The sequence below is a fragment of the Homo sapiens genome, chromosome 16 (assembly GCF_000001405.40).
Source record: "Homo sapiens chromosome 16, GRCh38.p14 Primary Assembly".
NCBI classification, from domain to species: domain Eukaryota; kingdom Metazoa; phylum Chordata; class Mammalia; order Primates; family Hominidae; genus Homo; species Homo sapiens.
Window position 1 is genome coordinate 89,523,596 of NC_000016.10, and position 19,248 is coordinate 89,542,843.

Below are 19,248 nucleotides of genomic sequence, written 5' to 3' on the forward strand. Positions count from 1 at the left end.
TTCTGAGACAGGGTCGTTCTCTGTCACCCAGGCTGGAGCACAGTGGCGCGATCACGGCTCACTGCAGCTTCAACCTCCCGCCTCAGCCTCCCAAGTAGCTGGGACCACAGGCGTGCACCGTTGTGCCCAGGTCTAAGTGTTTCGATTTAGAAATGGTTTCCTCTTAGGTGGGAACCACTCCTGCTCCTCACTGAAGTGACCTCAGCGAATGAAGTGTGGGTGACCTCGAACAGCACAGCGTTAGTCTTTGTCTCTGATAACGTCAGGGAAGAATTGGAGGAAGTGCAGGATCTTCTGTGCAGGACGCTGCCCCTCCCCGTCCAGCTGAGCTTTCCTGAGGAAGCTCTGGATGTCGCCCGTGTCTGTTGCTCATGTGTTTGTTTCTCCCTTTTGCTTCTCTGCCGGCTCAGAGGAGAGGAGACGCCGTGAGCGGGACGACCAGATGTACCGAGAGCGGCTGCGCACCTTGCTGGTCATCGCGGTTGTCATGAGCCTCCTGAATGCTCTCAGCACCAGCGGAGGCAGCATTTCCTGGAACGACTTTGTCCACGAGATGCTGGCCAAGGGCGAGGTGCAGCGCGTCCAGGTGGTGCCTGAGAGCGACGTGGTGGAAGTCTACCTGCACCCTGGAGCCGTGGTGTTTGGGCGGCCTGTGAGTGAGGGTGCGGGAGGCCTGTGAGTGAGGGTGTGGGCACAGGCTGGCAGCCTGTGAGAGTGAGGCTGTGGGCTCCTGTGAATGAGGGTGTGGGCGCTGGCTGTTGCCATCCTTTTGGATACCTGTGATTGAGGGCATGCTTCTTTCTCATGCAGGGACCTCAGCCCATTGATTTGCATTTATTTGGTTGCCTTTGTTTTTGTTTTTGTTTTTGAGACAGTCTCGCTCTGTTGGCCAGGCTGAAGCGCAGTGATGTGATCTTGGCTCACTGCAACATCTGCCTCCCGAGTTCAAGGGATTCTCCTGGCTCAGCCTCCCGGGTAGCTGGGATTACAGGCGTGCACCACAACGCCTGGCTAATTTTTGTAGTTCTAGTAGAGATGGGGTTTCTCCATGTTGGGCAAGGCTGGTCTCGAACTCCTGACCTCAGGTGATCTGCCCACCTTGACCTCCCAAAGTGCTGGGATTACAGGCGTGAGCCATCGTGCCCAGCCAGATCTGGTAACTTTAGATTCCAAGAGTGCGTCAGAACATGTGCTTGGAGCAATTTAACCCAGGGTAATGTGTGGACCAGTGATTAGGAAAGTGGTCTGGGGTTGGTGTGGCCCACCCCCGGGTCTGGAAATGACCGTGGCCTCCACCAGAGCTTCTGCCCCTTTGCTGGGTTACTCAGGATTCAGAATGCTTTTTCCTTTTCTTTTGCTTTTTTTTTTTTTTTTTGGAGACAGAGTCTCCCTCTGTCTCATCCAGGCTGAGATGCAGGGGTGTGTGTGATGTCGGCTCACTGCAGCCTTGATCTCCTGGGCTCAGGTGATCTACCCACCTCAGCCTCCCCTGTAGCTGGGATGGCAGGCGCGCACCACCACACTTGGCTAATTTTTAAATTTTTTGTTTTTTTGGAGAGATGAGGTCTCACTATATTGCCCAGGCTGGTCTTGAACTCCTGGCCTCAAGTGATCCTTACACCTTGGCCTTCCAAAGTGCCAGATCACAGGCGTCAGCCACCACGCCTGGCGCTGTCTTGCTATTTTTAAAAACAGGAAACCTTGTTCTTAAAATACACCATGGCTAAGTGCAGAAGACGGTGCTCATTCACGTAAATCCTCTGGTGGATGCCTGATTATTTCAGTCTGGAAGGTTATTTTAACCTACAACACTATGCTCAGCTCTAGACGAGTCACCTGATAAAACAGCTGCCTTAAAGAGAAAATGCTCAGAATTCTGTCTTAGCAGTTTGGGGTGTGAGTGAGGGAGCAGCAGGTGCCATCCCCACCCCTCATCCCTGTCCTCTGCTGGAGTTTCCAGTTAACCTCAAAGAGAGTCCCGCAAGTCCGTCTGTGTCCTCCCTTTGGGGTGTTGCCGTCCAGTCATGCTGAAATCTGAGCTAAACATGCGGAGTTTACTTAGGAAAACGCTGCGTTTGGAGAATCGTGTGCCAGGGAGACGGACCTGTTGGTGTCCTGGTGTGAGGGATGAACAGTCTCAGGTTTTGTGGTTAAACATGAACCCTCTGTGGCCGCAGTTTCCTAAAACATCTGTTTTTGGCCGTAGTCTTGATTTTGCCATCCTCAGTCCCGTGCTGCAGCCTCGCCGGCCTCTGGGGGGCTCCTGCTGTGTCTGCAGGTGTAGCTGAGTCTGAGGCACACATCAGACGTGGGGCTGTGAGCTAACTTGCAGACATCCCTCCATTTCTTAGTTTTCCTATGAGTGGAAAATAGAAAGTCTATCTGTTGAAATTTTATTTCTCAAATTGTGGTTGAGGAAACAAATTTTTTAGACTTGGAAGTACAGATGTTCCTTGAATTAGGATATTTTCAGCTTCCCAGGGGCTCACTGGGAGGTAGCCCCATCGTAGGTCAAGGAGCTTAGTGTGCATATTGCTTTTACACCATTGTAAAATGGAAAGACCGTAAGTGGAACCGTCGTACGTTAGGAATCACCTCTAGTTTCTGAATGGTGTCCTCTTCACAATGCTGAGGTTGTCATTACCATGAGTTCCAGGCGGGCTCTCTGTTGACTGTAGGGTTGCTCGTCTGTCCCTGCGTTTCTCATGGTCCCCTCTCCTTTCTGCCCCCCAGCGGCTAGCCTTGATGTACCGAATGCAGGTTGCAAATATTGACAAGTTTGAAGAGAAGCTTCGAGCAGCTGAAGATGAGCTGAATATCGAGGCCAAGGACAGGATCCCAGTTTCCTACAAGCGAACAGGATTCTTTGGAAAGTATGTTGGATGTATTTGTTGATGCTTGAACTAAACCTAACTTGGCTTTGTAATCTGAGAAACAGATTGCAATCAAAAATCTCAAACTGTCTTTGCCTATAGTTAACTAGACTTTTTAGTGGGAGGGTTAAATAAATATAGAAGTGAATGATACAATGCCAGGAGATTTGGAAATATAGTTATCCCTGGGTATCCATGGGGGCTGGTTCTCGGACTTCCCAAGGATACCAGCACCTGAGGATGCCTAAGCCCCTGGTGTAGGATGCTGAAGTCTAAGCCCCTGATGTAGATGCCGAAGTCTCAGCCCCCGACGTAAGATGCCGAAGTCTCAGCCCCCGACGTAGGATGGCGAAGTCTCAGCCCCCGACGTAGGATGCCGAAGTCTCAGCCCCCGACGTAGGATGCCGAAGTCTCAGCCCCCGACGTAGGATGCCGAAGTCTCAGCCCCCGACGTAGGATGGCGAAGTCTCAGCCCCCGACGTAGGATGGCGAAGTCTCAGCCCCCGACGTAGGATGGCGAAGTCTCAGCCCCTGGTGTAAAATGCCGAAATCTTTGTGTGTAACCTAAGAACATTCTCTGATATGCTTTAAATCATCTGTAGGTTGATAATAATACCCAATACCCTGTAAATACTATTTCAATCGTTGTTATACTTTAGGGAATAATGACAAAAATGTGTCTGTGCATGTTGAGTATAGATGCACGTTTTTCCCCAGATACATTCATTCTGTGCTTGGTTAAACCTGCAGAGATGAAACCTGTGGCTGTGGAGGCCAACCGTGTGCAAGTCCGTTGGAGTTTGTTTAGTCACTTTCTTTAGTTGTGTGGCGCTTCTGAATTCACATTCTTGTATAATTTTCACTGACTGTGCTCTTTGATGAAAGCTTCCCAAATGGTCAGAGTGAGTGTGCAGATGCCGGAGATACCTAGTGATCTGGCCAGCCTTGTGACAATAACAACGTTCAGCTTTTTCTATTTTCAGTATATTTTGTTTTCAAAAGTAAGCGATCACTTTCAGTTAGCAAGGCAAGATCAGCCTAGCAGTAAGAAAGAAAGTCAAGGAGGACCGTGATAATGTCCTGGGCTTGCTCTCTTCTACAGACAGGAAAATGGAACGGGAAAAGGGTAGACACAGGAAGGTGAAATTCTCATTTCAGTGTTGAGAGGGAAACAGACCAGGTGGGAGCTGTCAGCACGTATGGACCATGGACCCTGACAGGTTCCTTAGTAGGACAAATGAGGGGCCAGCGGGTACTGAAACAGAGGTTTATTGTTGACTTGTAATCTCTGAAGATGTAGAATGCCAGTGACTGGCAAGTACTCCCTTGATCAAAATGTACCTCTAGCCGGGTGCAGTGGCTATGCCTGTAATCCCAGCACTTTGGAAGGCTGAGGCAGGGAGGATCTCTTGAGCCCACAAGTTCGAGACCAGTCTGGGCAGCATGGAGAACCCCATCTCTACAGAAAAAAAAAAAAGATGCACCTTTAATTCTATAACCCAGCAACACCTGGAAGATCACTGCTCTGAGGCTGTGTGTCTCATGTCTTTGTAGGCCAGTGATGTACAGAAGATGGAGGGTTGGGGCAGGCCCATTCTCGTGTCTTCGTAGGCCGATGATGGACAGAAGGTGGAGGTTTGGGCCGGGCGCGGTGGCTCACGCCTGTAATTCCAGCACTTTGGGAGGCCGAGGCGGGCAGATCACGAGGTCAGGAGGTCGAGACCATCCTGGCTAACACGACGAAACCCCGTCTCTACTAAAAATACAAAAAAAATTAGCCGGGTGCGGTGGCGGGTGCCTGTAGTCCCAGCTACTCGGGAGGCTGAGGCAGGAGGATGGCGTGAACCCGGGAGGCGGAGCTTACAGTGAGCCAAGATAGCACCACTGCAGTCTGGCCTGGGTGACAGAGCCAGACTCCATCTCAAACAAAAAAAAAAAAAAAAGAAGAAGATGGAGGTTTGGGGCAGGCCCATTCTCATGTCTTCGTAGGCCGATGATGTACAGAACAGAAGATGGAGGGTTGGGGCAGGCCCATTCTCGTGTCTTTGTAGGCTGATGATGTACAGAAGATGGAGGGTTGGGGCAGGCCCAGGGCAGCCCCTCCTCAGGATGAGGGCAAAAGTCCTGGGATTTGCTTTTTTTTTTTTTTTTTTTTGGAGTCAGGGTCTCACTCTGTCGCCCAGGCTGGAGTGCAGTGGTGCAATCTCAGCTTACTGCAGCCTCGACCTCCCAGGATCAGTGATTCTCCCACCTCAGCCTCCTGAGTAGCTGGGACTACAGATGCACACCACCACATCCAGCTAAGTTTTTTTGTATTTTTAGTAGACACAGGGTTTATTCTTACATTTTTCTTTTCTTTTTGAGATGGAGTCTTGCTCTGTAGCTCAGGCTGGAGTTCAGTGGCACGATCTTGACTCACTGCAGCCTTCACCTCCTAGGTTCAAGCATTTCTCCTGCCTCAGCCTCCCAAGTAGCTGGGATTGCAGACGCATGCCACCATGTCCAGCTAATTTTTGTATTTTTTTAGTAGATATGGGGTTTTACCATGTTGGCCAGGCTGGTCTCAAACTCCTGACCTTGTGATTCACCCGCCACGGCCTCCCAAAGTGCTAGGATTACAGGCGTGAGCCACCGCGCCCGGCCTGAGATTTGCTTTTTACTCTTAGGCTGATCTTGCCTGCCTGATTGAAGCTGATCGCTTACATTTGAAAACAAAATATACTGAAAATAGAAAAACCTGAACGTTGTTATTGTCACAAGGCTGGCTAGATCTCCGGCATCTGCACACTCAGTCTGACCATTTGGGAAGCTTTCATGAAAAAGCACAGTCAGCGAGAATGAGACGAGAGAACCCATTTCCACAACCATTTTAATCTGCGCATCGGTCCCAGACGTAGGGATTCCTCGTCTCATCTTGGAAACATTGCCAGCAGTGGTTCTGATTTGGAAGCCTGCGTCTGTCACGTGACACCGTCTGAGCCTGTGCCTGCCTCTCTTTCTTCCGGCAGTGCCCTGTACTCTGTGGGGATGACGGCAGTGGGCCTGGCCATCCTGTGGTATGTTTTCCGTCTGGCCGGGATGACTGGAAGGGAAGGTGGATTCAGTGCTTTTGTAAGTTCTGTAAATCAGAGCTCTCTGAACTCTTTCTGGTTTGTGTTTGCTGAATACTTTTCCCATAAGCTATACGATGAATACACAGGGAAAACCTGTTGCAGAGAGTAGCCTGAAGCCACAATTAGACAGCAGCTCACCTTCCTTTCCCATGGTCCGGCTGTAAGGCGTGTAGTAACCAATGTTGCCTGAGGGCCTCTCACCCCTAACTCTGGGGTGCCTGAGCCTTGTGAGATTACAGGGCAGTTGAATCTGCGTTTTTCTTTTCTTTTTTTTTGAGACGGAGTTTCGCCCTTCTTGCCCAGGCTGGAGTGCAGCCGTGCGATCTCAGCTCACCGCAACTTGCACCTCCCGCATTCAAGCAATTCTCCTGCCTCAGCTTCCCGAGTAGCTGGGATTACAGGCACGCGCCACCACGTCCAGCTAATTTTGTATTTTTGGTAGAGACGGGGTTTCTCCATGTTGTTCAGGCTGGTCTCGAACTCCCGACCTCAGGTGATCCTCCCGCCTCAGCCTCCCAAAGTGCTGGGATTATAGGCATGAGCCACTGCACCTGGCCTTTCTTTTTTGTGTGTGTGTGTGTGTGACAGAGTCTGGCTCTGTTGCCCAGGCTGGAGTGCAGTGGTGCGATCTCAGCTCACTGCAACCTCTGCCTCCTGGGTTCAAGCGATTCTCCTGCTTCAGCCTTCCAAGTAGCTGTGACTACAGGTGCCTGCCACCACACCCAGCTAATTTTTTTGTATTTTTGGTAGAGACAGGTTTCACCGTGTTAGCCAGGGTGGTCTCGATCTCTTGACCTCGTGATCCGCCCATCTCGGCCTCCCAAAGTGCTAGGATTACAGGCGTGAGCCACCATGCCTGGCTGAGTAATTTTTTTTAAAGCAAATTGCTAGATAAGTTTCTTACTAATTAATGACGAAACATTTCCCTTCTGTGCTTGAAGACTGACTGTGAGCCTCGTCAGCCTGACATGAGTGAAGCCTTGGGATCCTAGGATGGAGACGTGGGGTTGGGGCGGCTCAGGTGCGTGGGCTGAGCGCTGGCATCGTGCTGCTGATTTCCTGACTTCGCCCAGCTCCTTGCACTTTGTTCTTTCTGCACAGAATCAGCTTAAAATGGCTCGTTTCACCATTGTGGATGGGAAGATGGGGAAAGGAGTCAGCTTCAAAGACGTGGCAGGAATGCACGAAGCCAAACTGGAAGTCCGCGAGTTTGTGGATTATCTGAAGGTGAAAGCAGCGTGGGCCGGGAGGGAGGTGTGAGCAGAGGCCGGCCGTCCTCCTCTCCCAGAAGGGCTCCTGCGGGACCTGGAATTCCATCGATGACGTGTCGTGGGTTGGCGGTGACCTCTACCATGTCCCATGGGGACACCAAGCAGGTGCTGGTGCCTGTTCAACCAGCAGCACAAGCCTCGTGCACATGGTTCAGCCAAGCAGAGGCTGCCAAGACCCATGCCTACTGTGCCGTTAGCCGTCCTGGGCCCTTCATCCCTTGCAAAGCTCTGTGCTTTTTCCAGAACCACATAAACACCTTAGCCAGTTGGTGGCAGTGCATGAGCTGCCTATCACGTGCGTCACTTACACGTTTCCTCCGCGGGCCTGGTACGGTGGGTCGCACCTGTAGTCCTGGCACCTCGAGGGGCTGACATGTGTTCCCTCTGCAGGCCTGGTACAGTGGGTCACGCCTGTAGTCCTGGCACCTCGGGGCGCTGAGGCAGGGGAGTGACTGAGCCCAGGAGTAGGAGATCAGCCTGGGCAACAGTGAGACCCTGTCTCTGCAAAACATTTTTTTATTTAATTAATTTTTTTTTTCGAGACAGAGTCTCACTTTGTCACTCAGGCTGGAGTGCAGTGGCACAATCTCGGCTCACTACAACCTCCACCTCCCCAGTTCAAGTGATTCTCCTGCCTCAGCCTCCCGAGTAGCAGGGATCACAGGCGCCCACCACCATGCACGGCTAATTTTTGTATTTTTAGTAGAGACGGGGTTTTTCCATGTTGGCCAGGCTGGTCTCAAACTCCTGATCTCAAGCTACGCGCCTGCCTCAGCCTCCCAAAATGTTGGAATTCCAGGTGTGAGCCACCGCACCTGGCCTGCAAGAAGTTTTTAAAAGTAGCTGGGCGTGGTGCCACATGCCTGTATATTCCCAGCTACTCGAGAGGCTGAGGTGAGAGGGTGGCTTGAACCCAGGAGTTTGAGGCTGCAGTGAGCTATCATGGCACCCACTGCACTCCAGCCTGCGTGACCCAGAGAGACCTTACCTCTAAAAAACAAAAAAACGGAATCCCCAAGTAGTTAGTGTTGCATTGTCTGCTGCCGTCCAGAGCCCAGAACGCTTCCTCCAGCTTGGCGCCAAGGTCCCAAAGGGCGCACTGCTGCTCGGCCCCCCCGGCTGTGGGAAGACGCTGCTGGCCAAGGCGGTGGCCACGGAGGCTCAGGTGCCCTTCCTGGCGATGGCCGGCCCAGAGTTCGTGGAGGTCATTGGAGGTAGGTGCTGTGGTTGGGGGCTGTGGGTGGGCTTGGCTGACTACCTGGCTCCTTTCACACATCCTTCCTCTGGTGTCTGGACTGAAAGGGACACGGGTGGGTGGGGGAGTAGAGAAGGAAAGCGAGGTCTGGGTTGGCGGAGGGGTTTTGTCTGCGAAGCACATGATGTTTGCTTCAAAGCCACCGTCACTTGTGGCCTGGGGGGCCAGCACGGTGCGTGTGAACCCTGAGGGGTGGCCAGGGGCCCCCGCGAGCAGCTGCCGTGTGTCTGTTTGTAGGGAATGGAGCTGGTAGCTTTAGTTGTCCTTGGTGTAGAACTTTGTCTGGCCCGGGTACAGGAAGAGGCTTTGTTTTTTATTAACTGCCCATTTCCTGATTCTCTCTGTGTCCCCTCAGGCCTCGGCGCTGCCCGTGTGCGGAGCCTCTTTAAGGAAGCCCGAGCCCGGGCCCCCTGCATCGTCTACATCGATGAGATCGACGCGGTGGGCAAGAAGCGCTCCACCACCATGTCCGGCTTCTCCAACACGGAGGAGGAGCAGACGCTCAACCAGCTTCTGGTAGAAATGGATGGTCAGTGCTCGTGCGCCCCGCACCCCCATTGCACCATCAGAGGAGGTTTTCCGATGTCTTTCAGAACAGGTTGTGGTGAGCCAAGATCGTGTCACTGCACTCCGGCCTGGGTGACAGAGTGAGACTCTGTCTCAAGAAAAAAAAAAAATAGAAATGTAGCTTTCAGACCCGGCGCAGTGGCTCACGCCTGTAATCCCAGCACTTTGGGAGGCCAAGACAGGCGGATCACCAGAGGTCAGGATTTCATGAGCAGCCTGGCCAACATGCTGAAACCCCATCTCTACAAAAATACAAAAGTCAGCCGGGTGTGGTGGCAGGTGCTTATAATCGCTAGTACTCTGGAGAATCGCTTGAACTCGGGAGGTGGAGGTTGCAGTGAGCCAAGATCTCACCATTGCACTCCAGCCTGCCTGGGTGACAGAGGGAGACTCCATCTCAAAAAAAAAAAAAAAAAAAACACAGCTTTTAATTAAAAAAAGGTCAAGACAATAGTAAAAAAGACAAGTAGGAATATAAGTGGTACGTCAGATGTAATCTTTCCTTTTCTTTTTTAGATAGTCTTGCTCTCTCTCCCAGGCTGGAGCGCAGTGGCACAATCTTGGCTCACTGCAGGCTCTGTCTCCCGGGTTCTCGCCATTCTCCTGCCTCAGCCTCTCGAGTAGCTGAGACTACAGGCGCCTGTCACCACGCCTGGCTAATTTTTTGTATTTTTAGTAGAGACGGGGTTTCACCGTGTTAGCCAGGATGGTCTCGATCTCCTGACCTCGTGATCCGCCTGCCTCGGCCTCCCAAAGTGCTGAGATTACAGACGTGAGCCTTAGCACCCAGGCTTTTTTTTTCATTATTACTGTTTTTTAGGGGCTTTGCAGCAAAACCCAGAGGGACTGCTAGACAGATTCTGGAAGAGCTGTGCCACTCATAATTTTAGGTGTAATGAGTCTGTCTGGTTGTGCTGCCACGTCTCTCCCTGTGCCCCCTGGAGAGGGTGTGACGCTGGTTAGAGGGCGGAGCAGAGCATCAGGGTGCTGCACTGCAGCGAGGGAGACACCCCATTTGTTGTGACCCCTTGAAAATGACTTCTGGTCTGGCTTTGACAATTTTTTTTTTTAATGGAGCTGACCCAATAAAGGTGACATGGAATTATTTTTCTTCTGAGCTAGTTTTGCAAGATTATTATTATTTTTTTTATGTGGATATTGTTGTGGTAAAATAGATAGCCAGGCTTGGTGGTGCAGGCCTGTGTTCCCAGCTGTTGGGGAGGCCGAGGCAGAAGGAGTGCTGGAACCTGAGCTAGGGAGTGTGCTGTGCGATGGTCTCGCCTGTGAACAGCCTCTGCATTGCAGCCTGGACAACACAGCGAGACCCTGTCTCTAAAAGACAATGAATACGTTCACATAGATTTACCATTTTAATCATTCTGAAGTTCATTGACATTCAGTATATTCGCACTGTTGAGCAACCGCCACCACCACGTGTCTCCAGAACTTTCTCTTCAAACCGAAAACCTGTCCCCATTCAACCCTCCCCATTCTCCATCCCCAGCCCCTTGCAGCCTGTGTCCCGCTGTCTGTCTCTGAGTTTGACTGTTGTAGGGACCTCATAGAATTGGAGTCCTACAGTGTCTGTCCTTTGCTATCCGCCTTCTTTCAAGCACATAACATCTCTAGGGGCCACCTGTACTGGGCACGTGTCAGGATTTCCTTCCTCTTTGAGGCTGAACGATGCTGCCTTGTGTGTAGGGGCTGCGTCTTGTTATTTGCCCGTCGGTGGACATGTGGACTGTGGTGAATCAGGCTGTGTTAACATAAGTACAAGCATCTTCTGAAGTCTCTGCTTTGTAAGATTTATTTTTAATCAGAATTCTAGTTACATTTTAGGTATTGTAGATGAGGGAGACTTTTTTTCCCCAAGTGTTCTGGCTCCGAGAGAGCCGTTGACTTCCTGTTTTCTTTGTTGCCTGTGGCTGTCTGGAGTCGTGTGTGTTAGCACACATGCACAGCCCAGTTTTGACTACTCAGCTAAGGGGGAGCTTGCTCCACCTCTCATTGCAAAATCACTTTAGACTTACAGAAGCGTTGCCACGGTAGTCAGAGTGTTCTTTGATGCCTTCCTGCAAGCTCCCTGAAGGCTGACTGTGACATACATGGTCTGCAGGTTCGGACCAGGCCACGCTGTCCGTGACTGCCCCCCAGACCCATCCACAGGTGCTTCCGCCCCCCCGATGTGGATGTTTGGTCTCCTTGGTCTCTTCCCCTCCTGTGTCATTTGTTGGTCTTGTTTTTTGAGACAGGGTCTTGCTGTGTTGTCCAGGTTGGTCTTGAACTCCTTGGCTCATGCAATCCTCCTGCCTCAGCCTCCCGAGTAGCTGGGATTACAGGTGGGCTTCACTGTTCCTCAGTGTTTGTCTTTGGTGACTGTGACACTGTACAGGCCAGTGACATTCAGGAATGTCATCTCTGGAACTGTGACATGTCCTCAGGATCAGGTCGAGCAGTGCATTTGGCAGGATTGGTGCAGCAGTGCTGTGGTGTGCCTTGAGGTTTACAGTGTCGCTGCACCTGTCGCTGGCGGTGGACTCTGCTGAGGACTTTGGCCCTGGGCTGGCATGCATCTCTTCTGGGTGCTCCATGTTCCCTGTGCTGGCGCCCGTCTCTTCTGGGTGCCCCGCGTTCCCGTCTGCCTCTGGGCTGCTGTGAAGTCAGGTAGACTGATGCCCACAGAAGTGTTCTCTAGGCTCTGAAAGCTCTGAGGTTAGAAGATGAAAGTGAGATTCCCGACAGTGTGCAGGACGCAACGACGTTTGCGGAGAATGCTTCACACCTCTCCTGCTGCTTGTCCCCCGTGTCTCCAGTCGTCTCTCAACACGCTTATTCAGGAACTAACGCGTGAGCAACCGAGACCTGAATGGCTGCCTTCTGCACACACAGCAAGTGGTCATGGGAGTCGAGTTTTCAGAGAACACAATGTCTTCAGAGATGTGGGGTGAGCAGTTCAGATTCTGTGATGTCTGAGGTGTCACTGAGGAGAGACCCGTCCTCAGAGGTGGGTCCTTGGGGTTCAGGGACCCCACCGCCTCTGCTGGGAGAGCTGCCCTGTACCTCAAGCGGAGATCACCATGCGTTTTAGAGGCCTCTGGAGCCTACAGGCTCGCTGTACTGCTTCTCTGCAGAGCATCTTTATGTGGCCTCTCTGGTGCTGTGTGGCCTTCAGTGTGGCCTCTCTGGTGCTGTGTGGCCTTCACTGTGGCCTCTCTGGTGCTGTGTGGCCTTCACTGTGGCCTCTCTGGTGCTGTATGGCCTTCAGTGTGGCCTCTCTGGTGCTGTGTGGCCTTCACTGTGGCCTCTCTGGTGCTGTGTGGCCTTCACTGTGGCCTCTCTGGTGCTGTGTGGCCTTCACTGTGGCCTCTCTGGTGCTGTGTGGCCTTCAGTGTGGCCGCTCTGGTGCTGTGTGGCCTTCAGTGTGGCCGCTCTGGTGCTGTGTGGCCTTCAGTGTGGCCTCTCTGGTGCTGTGTGGCCTTCAGTGTGGCCGCTCTGGTGCTGTGTGGCCTTCAGTGTGGCCTCTCTGGTGCTGTGTGGCCTTCAGTGTGGCCTCTCTGGTGCTGTGTGGCCTTCAGTGTGGCCTCTGGTGCTGTGTGGCCTTCAGTGTGGCCTCTCTGGTGCTGTGTGGCCTTCAGTGTGGCCGCTCTGGTGCTGTGTGGCCTTCAGTGTGGCTCTGACCATTGCTTCTGGAGGCTGCTCAAGGATGGGTGGGTGGTTTGGGTTTTGAGGAAATCTGCAGAGCACCTTGGGTTCTGGCCGCAGAGTCTGAGGACTCTCGGTGAGGCGGGTGAGGCGGGTGAGGCGGGTGAGGTCAGGTGAGGCAGGTGAGGTGAGGCGGGTGAGGTCAGGTGAGGCGGGTGAGGTCAGGTGAGGCAGGTGAGGTGAGGCGGGTGAGGTCAGGTGAGGCGGGTGAGGTGAGGCAGGTGAGGTGAGGTGGGTGAGGCGGGTGAGGGCGGGTGAGGCGGGCGAGGTGGGCGAGGCAGGCGAGGCGGGTGAGATCGGGCGAGGCGGGCGGCTGCGCTGCTCTGGCTGTGTGGCGTGGACACCAAGGTCTTCGTCCTGTGAGTCTGCGGCCTTCTTCTCCAACCAGGTGCCTCTCTTGACCAGCTACCCTCCCAGGGGACCATGAGGAAGCTCAGAGGAAAGACCCCCGCCTGCTCCTGTCTCACGGAGCCCACAGGGTCACGGAGGGCAATGGAGGGTCATTCGCTCTGCTGGGGTTGCCTTTTGCACTGAAGATAGAGACCACCTTTTTGAGTGACTTGAGCCCAAAGGCAAGCGTATATCAAACGATCTTCTCCACATAACCTCTCTGTGCCATCATAAGAATAGCTGCTTCCGCCCCCGGATTTGCTCAGGCCTGGGAATCCGCTGACTGAAGGCCTCTTGTTGAGTGCCAGCTCTAAACAAGTCCCTTTATGCAGAGCCACAGCTGTGCATGCTCAGCCCTGCCGAGGTCCCAGGCCAGGCTTTGTTGCTTCCGTTCATGGAAGCGCACAGGATAGGGCCGACGCTGTGCCGGTCGTGGGGAAATCTCACTGGGGAAGAGAAAAGCCCAAGCCTTGTTGGTTACGTCAGCCGGTCCATGGCGGTGTCCTGCGGACCCCAGAGCCCCCGGGAAGGGCGCAAGTCAAAGAGCACTGGAGGCACCGCCGGCGATGGACGTCCAGGTCCCGGCTCCTGTGCTGGAAAGCGTTGATGGGGAGCGTCGGCGCTGACCACACGCGGGAGCTGCGGAAGCCCAGCGGTTCACACAGGCCTCCCTTCAACGTAGTCATCCCCTGGTGGTGGAAGCAAGACGACGGCCCCTGACGTGCAGCCACACACAGAAAAGGCTGCTGTGAACATTTTATGCTTCGACTTTTTTTTTCTTCAGAGACAGGGTGTCGTTCTGTCGCCCAGGCTGGAGTGCAGTGCCACCATCATAGCTCACTGCAGCCTCCACCTCCTAGGCTCAAGCTTCCTAAGTAGTTGGGACTCAAGGCTTGAGTCACCATGCCAGGCTCTGTTTTTTCAGTCTGTGAAAAATAAAGTCATCAGCATGTGAGCTTGGCAGTGCTTGCCGTGAGCTCTTTCAGGTCCAGGCTCCCAGTGTCTGGGCAGTGAATGAGGTCCTGGGAAGCTGGGGTCCTGGTCCTGGTCCCAGTGTGACCCGGGACACCCCTACCTTTGTCCTTAATGTGGCAGTAAATGTATCAAGCACGCTCTGCCCTGGGAGCCGTGGACTGCCTGCCAGGTGGGTAGATGGGCGCTGGCAGAGGGAGAAGCTGAGGCCCAGCAGGAGCCGGCCGTCTGACTCACAACTCACGCCCGCCGACTGCCCCTGTACTTCCCTGGGGGTTGCGAGCACTGCCGAGCCCTGGGTGACGCTGGTGTGGCCAGGCTGGAGCGCAGAGAACCACACTTGGGGTTCAGAGTGTGTTCTCCCACTCAGAAGCATTGGCTCTGCCGGGAGCGGGATGGGGATGCAGCTTTCTTCCCCATTTTAGACCTCAGGTTGGAAGGGCGCACTCAGGTGGCAGCAGCCACTTCGGGTTGGGCGTCTCGTGCTGTCCTGGTGCGTTGAGACATCCCTCAAAGAAAGCACGAGTACCCTCCACACCCACATAGCCAGGGCATCCACTGTCACCACTCCATGTGGAAGTCCTGTTGGTAAAATCTTGACAAGAGCCATTTAGAGAGCACGGGGGGAAATTCTCCCAGGTCCAAGCAGAATGGACAGTGAGCCTGGGGGACGGATGGACAGGAGGAGGCCTGGGCTTCTGGGCTCCGCAGGCAGGGAGGGGCCGGCAGTGTGGCTTATTCCCCGGGTGGACGAGGAGCCCTGGGCTTCTGGGCTCCGCAGGCGGGGAGGGGCCGGCAGTATGGCTTATTCCCACTTGAGTCAGCTCTTGAGCACTTGCTCGTGGCCCAGAGGTGATGCTGCTGTTTCTGCCCTCTGTCCTCTCAGAGGAAGTGGGTGCTGGTTCAAGGATCTCAGGCTCTGAGCGGGAGAGCGGGGTCAGGTCTAGCTTCTGTCCGTGGCTTGCTCCCTGTGGTGCTGCCTCTGCCTGCCCTGCCGTCTTCCACATGCGTCTCCAACAGGGAATGGAAGGAGCCTCTGACCCAAAAACATCCCCCAAACTGTCGGGTCCTGCGGCAAGTTGAGGGCCTCTCAGGGGTCCTGTCTGCGGCCCTGTGGGAAGTGAGGCTGTGGCAGCCGGTCCTTTATCCTGAGTTTGGTTGCTTGTTTTTTGGACAATGTCTTAGGTCCCAGTGATGGTGGACCAGCAGGCAGCCCTGAACACTGAGGATACTGTGGGAAACCCAGGCAGGAGCTAAGGGGTGGGAGCTCAGGGCTTGGGGGTGCAGATCTCGAGGCCCAAGGGGCCATTTTCCCAGTGGGTGTCTTGACTGAGTTCTGAGTGTTTTCCAGGGCTCTGAACACAGCCCTTTTTTGGACATGTGGTTTACGCACTCTATGTGTCCCTTGTCCTTTCACCCTCTAACGGGGAACAGCAAAAGCTGCTCATTTTGATAAAGTTCAGTTTATCAATTTTTGCTTTTATAGATCTCGTTTTTACTGTGAAGTCTAAGAACTGTTTGCCCGCCGGGCATGGTGGATCACCTGAGGTCAGGAGTTCAAGACCAGCCTGGCCAATATGGAGAAACCCCATCTGTACTAAAAATACAAAATTAGCCGGGTGTGGTGGCGTGTACCTGTAATCCCAGCTACTTGGGAGGCTGAGGCAGGAGAATCGCTTGAACCCGGGAGGCGGAGGTTGCAGTGAGCCAAGATCGCACCATTGCACTCCAGCCTGGGCAAAAAAGAGCGAAACTCCTTCTCAAAAAAACAAATAAATAAAAGAACTGTTTGCCTATTCCTAGATCCTAAAGATTTTCTCCTGTGGGTTTCTTTTTTCTTTTCTTTGAGACAGAGTCTTGCTCTGTCACCCAGGCTGGAGTGCAGTGGTGCGATCATGGGTCACTGCAGCCTCAGCCTCTGGGACTCAAGCCGTCCTCCCGTCTCAGCCTCCTGAGTAGCTGGGACCACAGGTGTGTGCACCAACATGCCTGGCTAATTAAAAAAGAATTTTTTTTGTGTAGTTGGGGGTCTCACCTTGTTGCCCAGCCTGCTCTTGAACTCCTGGGCTCAAATGATCTTTTCACCTCAGCTCCTCAAAGTGTGGGGAATACAGGTGTGAGCCCCCATGCCTGGCCTCTCATGGGTATCTTATAGAAGTTTTATATTTAATCCATGATCTTATTTTAAGTTAACGTCTACATGAAGTGGGAGGTTTGGTCAGGTTCATTTTCTGCCTGTGGAAAAGTGCTCCAGCCCCACTGGTCTGAAATGCTGTCTTCTTTCCACCAAGTTGTGCTTGCACCTTTGCCGGAGCTCAGGTGCATGTGGGGGTCTGTGCTGGCTCTGTGAGTCTGTCCTTCCGCACACAACTGGTCTCTCGCTTCTGTGAGACGAGAGCAGGTGGAGTGATTCCTCCCACTTTGTTCTTTACCAGAATTGTTTCAGCTATTCCTTTGCCTTTTCCTGTAATTTTTAGAATACGCTTGTTCCTATCTACCAAAGTATCTTGCTGAGATTTTGATAGGAACACACACCTCTTAGGAGAGCTAGAGTAAAGAGCAGTGACCGGCCCAGATCTGGGCCATACGTGTGATCCCAGCATTTTGCGCGTCTGAGTTGGAAGCATTACTTTAGCCCGGGAGTTTGAAACCAGCCTGAGCAACATAGTGAGATTCTGTCTCTAAAAAAATACAAAAATTAGCTGGCAGTGGTGGTGCGCACCTGTAGTCTTAGCTGCTCAGAAGATTGAGGTGGGAGGATCACTTGAGCCTGGCAGTTCGAGGCTACAGGGAGCCGTGGTCACCCCACTGCACTCCAGCCTGGGCAACAGGGCGAGACCCCATCTCAAAAACAAAACAAAACTCAAAAAACAGTGACAACACCACACGCTGCTGAGGATGCAAAGAAACCAGATCCCTTGTACGCTGCTGATGGGGGTGTGACGTGGTGCAGCCTCACTGGGAAACAGTTTGGCAGCTTCTTAAAAAACTAAACGTGTGCTCACCATGTGACCCCGTGTCCACATGCGCTCACCACATGACCCCGCATCCACCCTCCTGGGTGCTCATCCCAGGAAAGCAAAGACTTAGGCTCACACGAAATGCCTGGGCGCCGACGCTCATTTACCTGTAATAGCTAAAAACTGGAAGTGACCCAGGTGCCATTCAGTGGCTGAGAGCTGAAACTGGTGTATCCTTATCACAGTGTTCTACGCAGAAATAGAAGAGCTGAAACTGGTGTATCCTTATCACGGCGTTCTACACAGCGACTAGAAGAGCTGAAACTGGTGTATCCTTATCACGGTGTTGTACGCAGAAATAGAAGAGCTGAAACTGGTGTATCCTTATCACGGTGTTGTACGCAGAAATAGAAGAGCTGAAACTGGTGTATCCTTATCACGGTGTTCTACGCAGAAATAGAAGAGCTGAAACTGGTGTATCCTTATCACGGTGTTCTACGCAGAAATAGAAGAGCTGAAACTGGTGTATCCTTATCACGGTGTTCTACGCAGCAATAGAAGAGCTGAAACTGGTGTATCCTTATCATGGTGTTCTATGCAGCAGTAGAAGGAAACTTTCTTCCTGCAGCAACAAGGAAATGACGCAAAGTGAGAAGAGCCAGGCTTAGTATCGTATGACTCCACTTGTACGAAATTGTCAAAATAACAAAATTCTGGGGATGGAGAACGGGTTACTGGTTGTCAGCAGTTAGGGGAGGTCTCCAGGGAGGAGGGATGCCTCTGGGGAGGGCGGTTCTGTGTCTTGAGGGGAGATGCTCGTTATGTGAACGTGCGTGTGACACAGGTGTCCATCTGTGGAGCACACACACAGGTGAGAGCACATAGGAGTGGGGGCATCTGAGCAGGGGCCTGGCGTTTCCATGTCAGTCTCCTGGCTTTGCCTTTGTTTTGCAGCTACTGAACGCACAGCTGCTGGGGGACCAGGGCCAAAGGGACTGCTCTGTGCTGTTTTTGCAATTTGTTGTGTGTCTGTTACCATCAGAATACAAAACTTAAAAAGTCACACCAGGGATCCGGTCCCAGAAAGTCCGTATCCTGAAACCGCATGTCCCTGACACATAGCTGCCCAGGGGGAGCATGTGTCCAGTCCCAGGAAGTCTGTATCCTGAAACCACATGTCCCTGACACATAGCGGCCCGGTAGGGAGCACGTGCCCTGCAGGGTGGCCACCCTGATACATAGCGGCCCGGTGGGGAGCACGTGCCCCGCAGGGTGGCCATCCTAACACATAGCGGCCCGGGGGGAGCACGTGCCCCGCAGGGTGGCCATCCTGACACATAGCCCGGTGGGGAGCACGTGCCCCGCAGGGTGGCTGGGCTCTGCTGAAGGCCGAGCTGTGCTTGAACCCGGCGCCGCCCCCTCTAGGAGCTCGCACTGCACCTCTTTGGCCTGGCTGCTGTTTTTCTTTGAGACCGGTGTTCCTATTACTTTTCCCATTTTTTTCACTGTTTATACAATCTTTCAGAATTCTGTATCCACAGCCCTGGCCTCTGCAAGGAAGGCGCTCCACGACACTGAGCAGTAAGCCTTGGCAGGCCTTCCAGACAGCTCTGGAGGGGCCAGCTTGGGTCCCAGTCCCCACCCTCCCCAGCCTCTTGTTCCTCGTGTCATAGTGAGACAAGGCACTTGTGCTTCTGCTGCCTGTTTTTGTTTCTGAGTTTATTTTAAAAGTCACCGTGATTTTAAGACACTGTCTTTGCCTTGGCGAGGTGATTCTCTTCTGTGATCTCCCTTGTAGAAATGTGACTGGGACTTAGCATCCCAGCTTATCACATTCTGACGTGTGGAACCAGGGAGAATGGTTGTGTCTTTCAAAGTTTCTTTGAAATTCGGGAGCGATTTGCTTGGGAGTGGGGTGTGTCTTGGACTGAGCTGCTGTCCAGACCTGGCGGCTACGGCTTAGTGAGGCTCAGGACAGTGGCCCTGGAGAAGCTGGTCAGGCCCCTCAGCCTCCTCAGAGCGTTCAAGGTCCTGTCCTAAGAACATGGGGTTGCTGGAGCCAGGGTCTCACTCCATTGCCCAGGCTGGAGTATAGGGGCATGATCATAGCTCACTGCAGCCTTCACCTCCTAGGCTCACATGGTC

General features: G+C 53.1%; 1 protein-coding gene across 9 annotated transcripts in view, besides 3 other annotated features; it reads left to right on the forward strand.

Annotated features, from left to right (window-relative positions):
* Positions 1–19,248, forward strand: part of SPG7 (SPG7 matrix AAA peptidase subunit, paraplegin) — a 49,381-nt gene that overhangs the window by 15,208 nt on the left and 14,925 nt on the right. For 4 of the 9 annotated variants that reach the window (NM_001363850.1, XM_017023598.2, XM_047434538.1 and 1 more), the window contains exons 4-9: positions 411–652; positions 2,734–2,873; positions 5,882–5,984; positions 7,088–7,213; positions 8,309–8,471; positions 8,868–9,041. In NM_001363850.1, coding sequence (NP_001350779.1) covers positions 411–652; positions 2,734–2,873; positions 5,882–5,984; positions 7,088–7,213; positions 8,309–8,471; positions 8,868–9,041 — 948 coding nt within the window. Of the gene's footprint in view, positions 1–410; positions 653–2,733; positions 2,874–5,881; positions 5,985–7,087; positions 7,214–8,308; positions 8,472–8,867; positions 9,042–13,169; positions 14,127–17,348; positions 18,685–19,248 lie in introns of those variants that run through there. The other 5 variants (XM_047434539.1, XM_005256321.5, NM_199367.3 and 2 more) reach the window with 5 other exon arrangements.
* Positions 1,926–2,035: an enhancer, noted in NCBI's record as "active region_11415". NCBI's record gives its function as "activates an Ori minimal core promoter by ATAC-STARR-seq in GM12878 lymphoblastoid cells {active_cell/tissue: GM12878}" and the evidence as "EXISTENCE:reporter gene assay evidence [ECO:0000049][PMID:35858748]".
* Positions 2,086–2,195: an enhancer, noted in NCBI's record as "active region_11416". NCBI's record gives its function as "activates an Ori minimal core promoter by ATAC-STARR-seq in GM12878 lymphoblastoid cells {active_cell/tissue: GM12878}" and the evidence as "EXISTENCE:reporter gene assay evidence [ECO:0000049][PMID:35858748]".
* Positions 11,953–12,643: an enhancer, noted in NCBI's record as "H3K27ac-H3K4me1 hESC enhancer chr16:89601956-89602646 (GRCh37/hg19 assembly coordinates)". NCBI's record gives its function as "activates a minimal SCP1, AML or CMV promoter by ChIP-STARR-seq in primed H9 embryonic stem cells {active_cell/tissue: H9 hESC(primed)}" and the evidence as "EXISTENCE:reporter gene assay evidence [ECO:0000049][PMID:30033119]".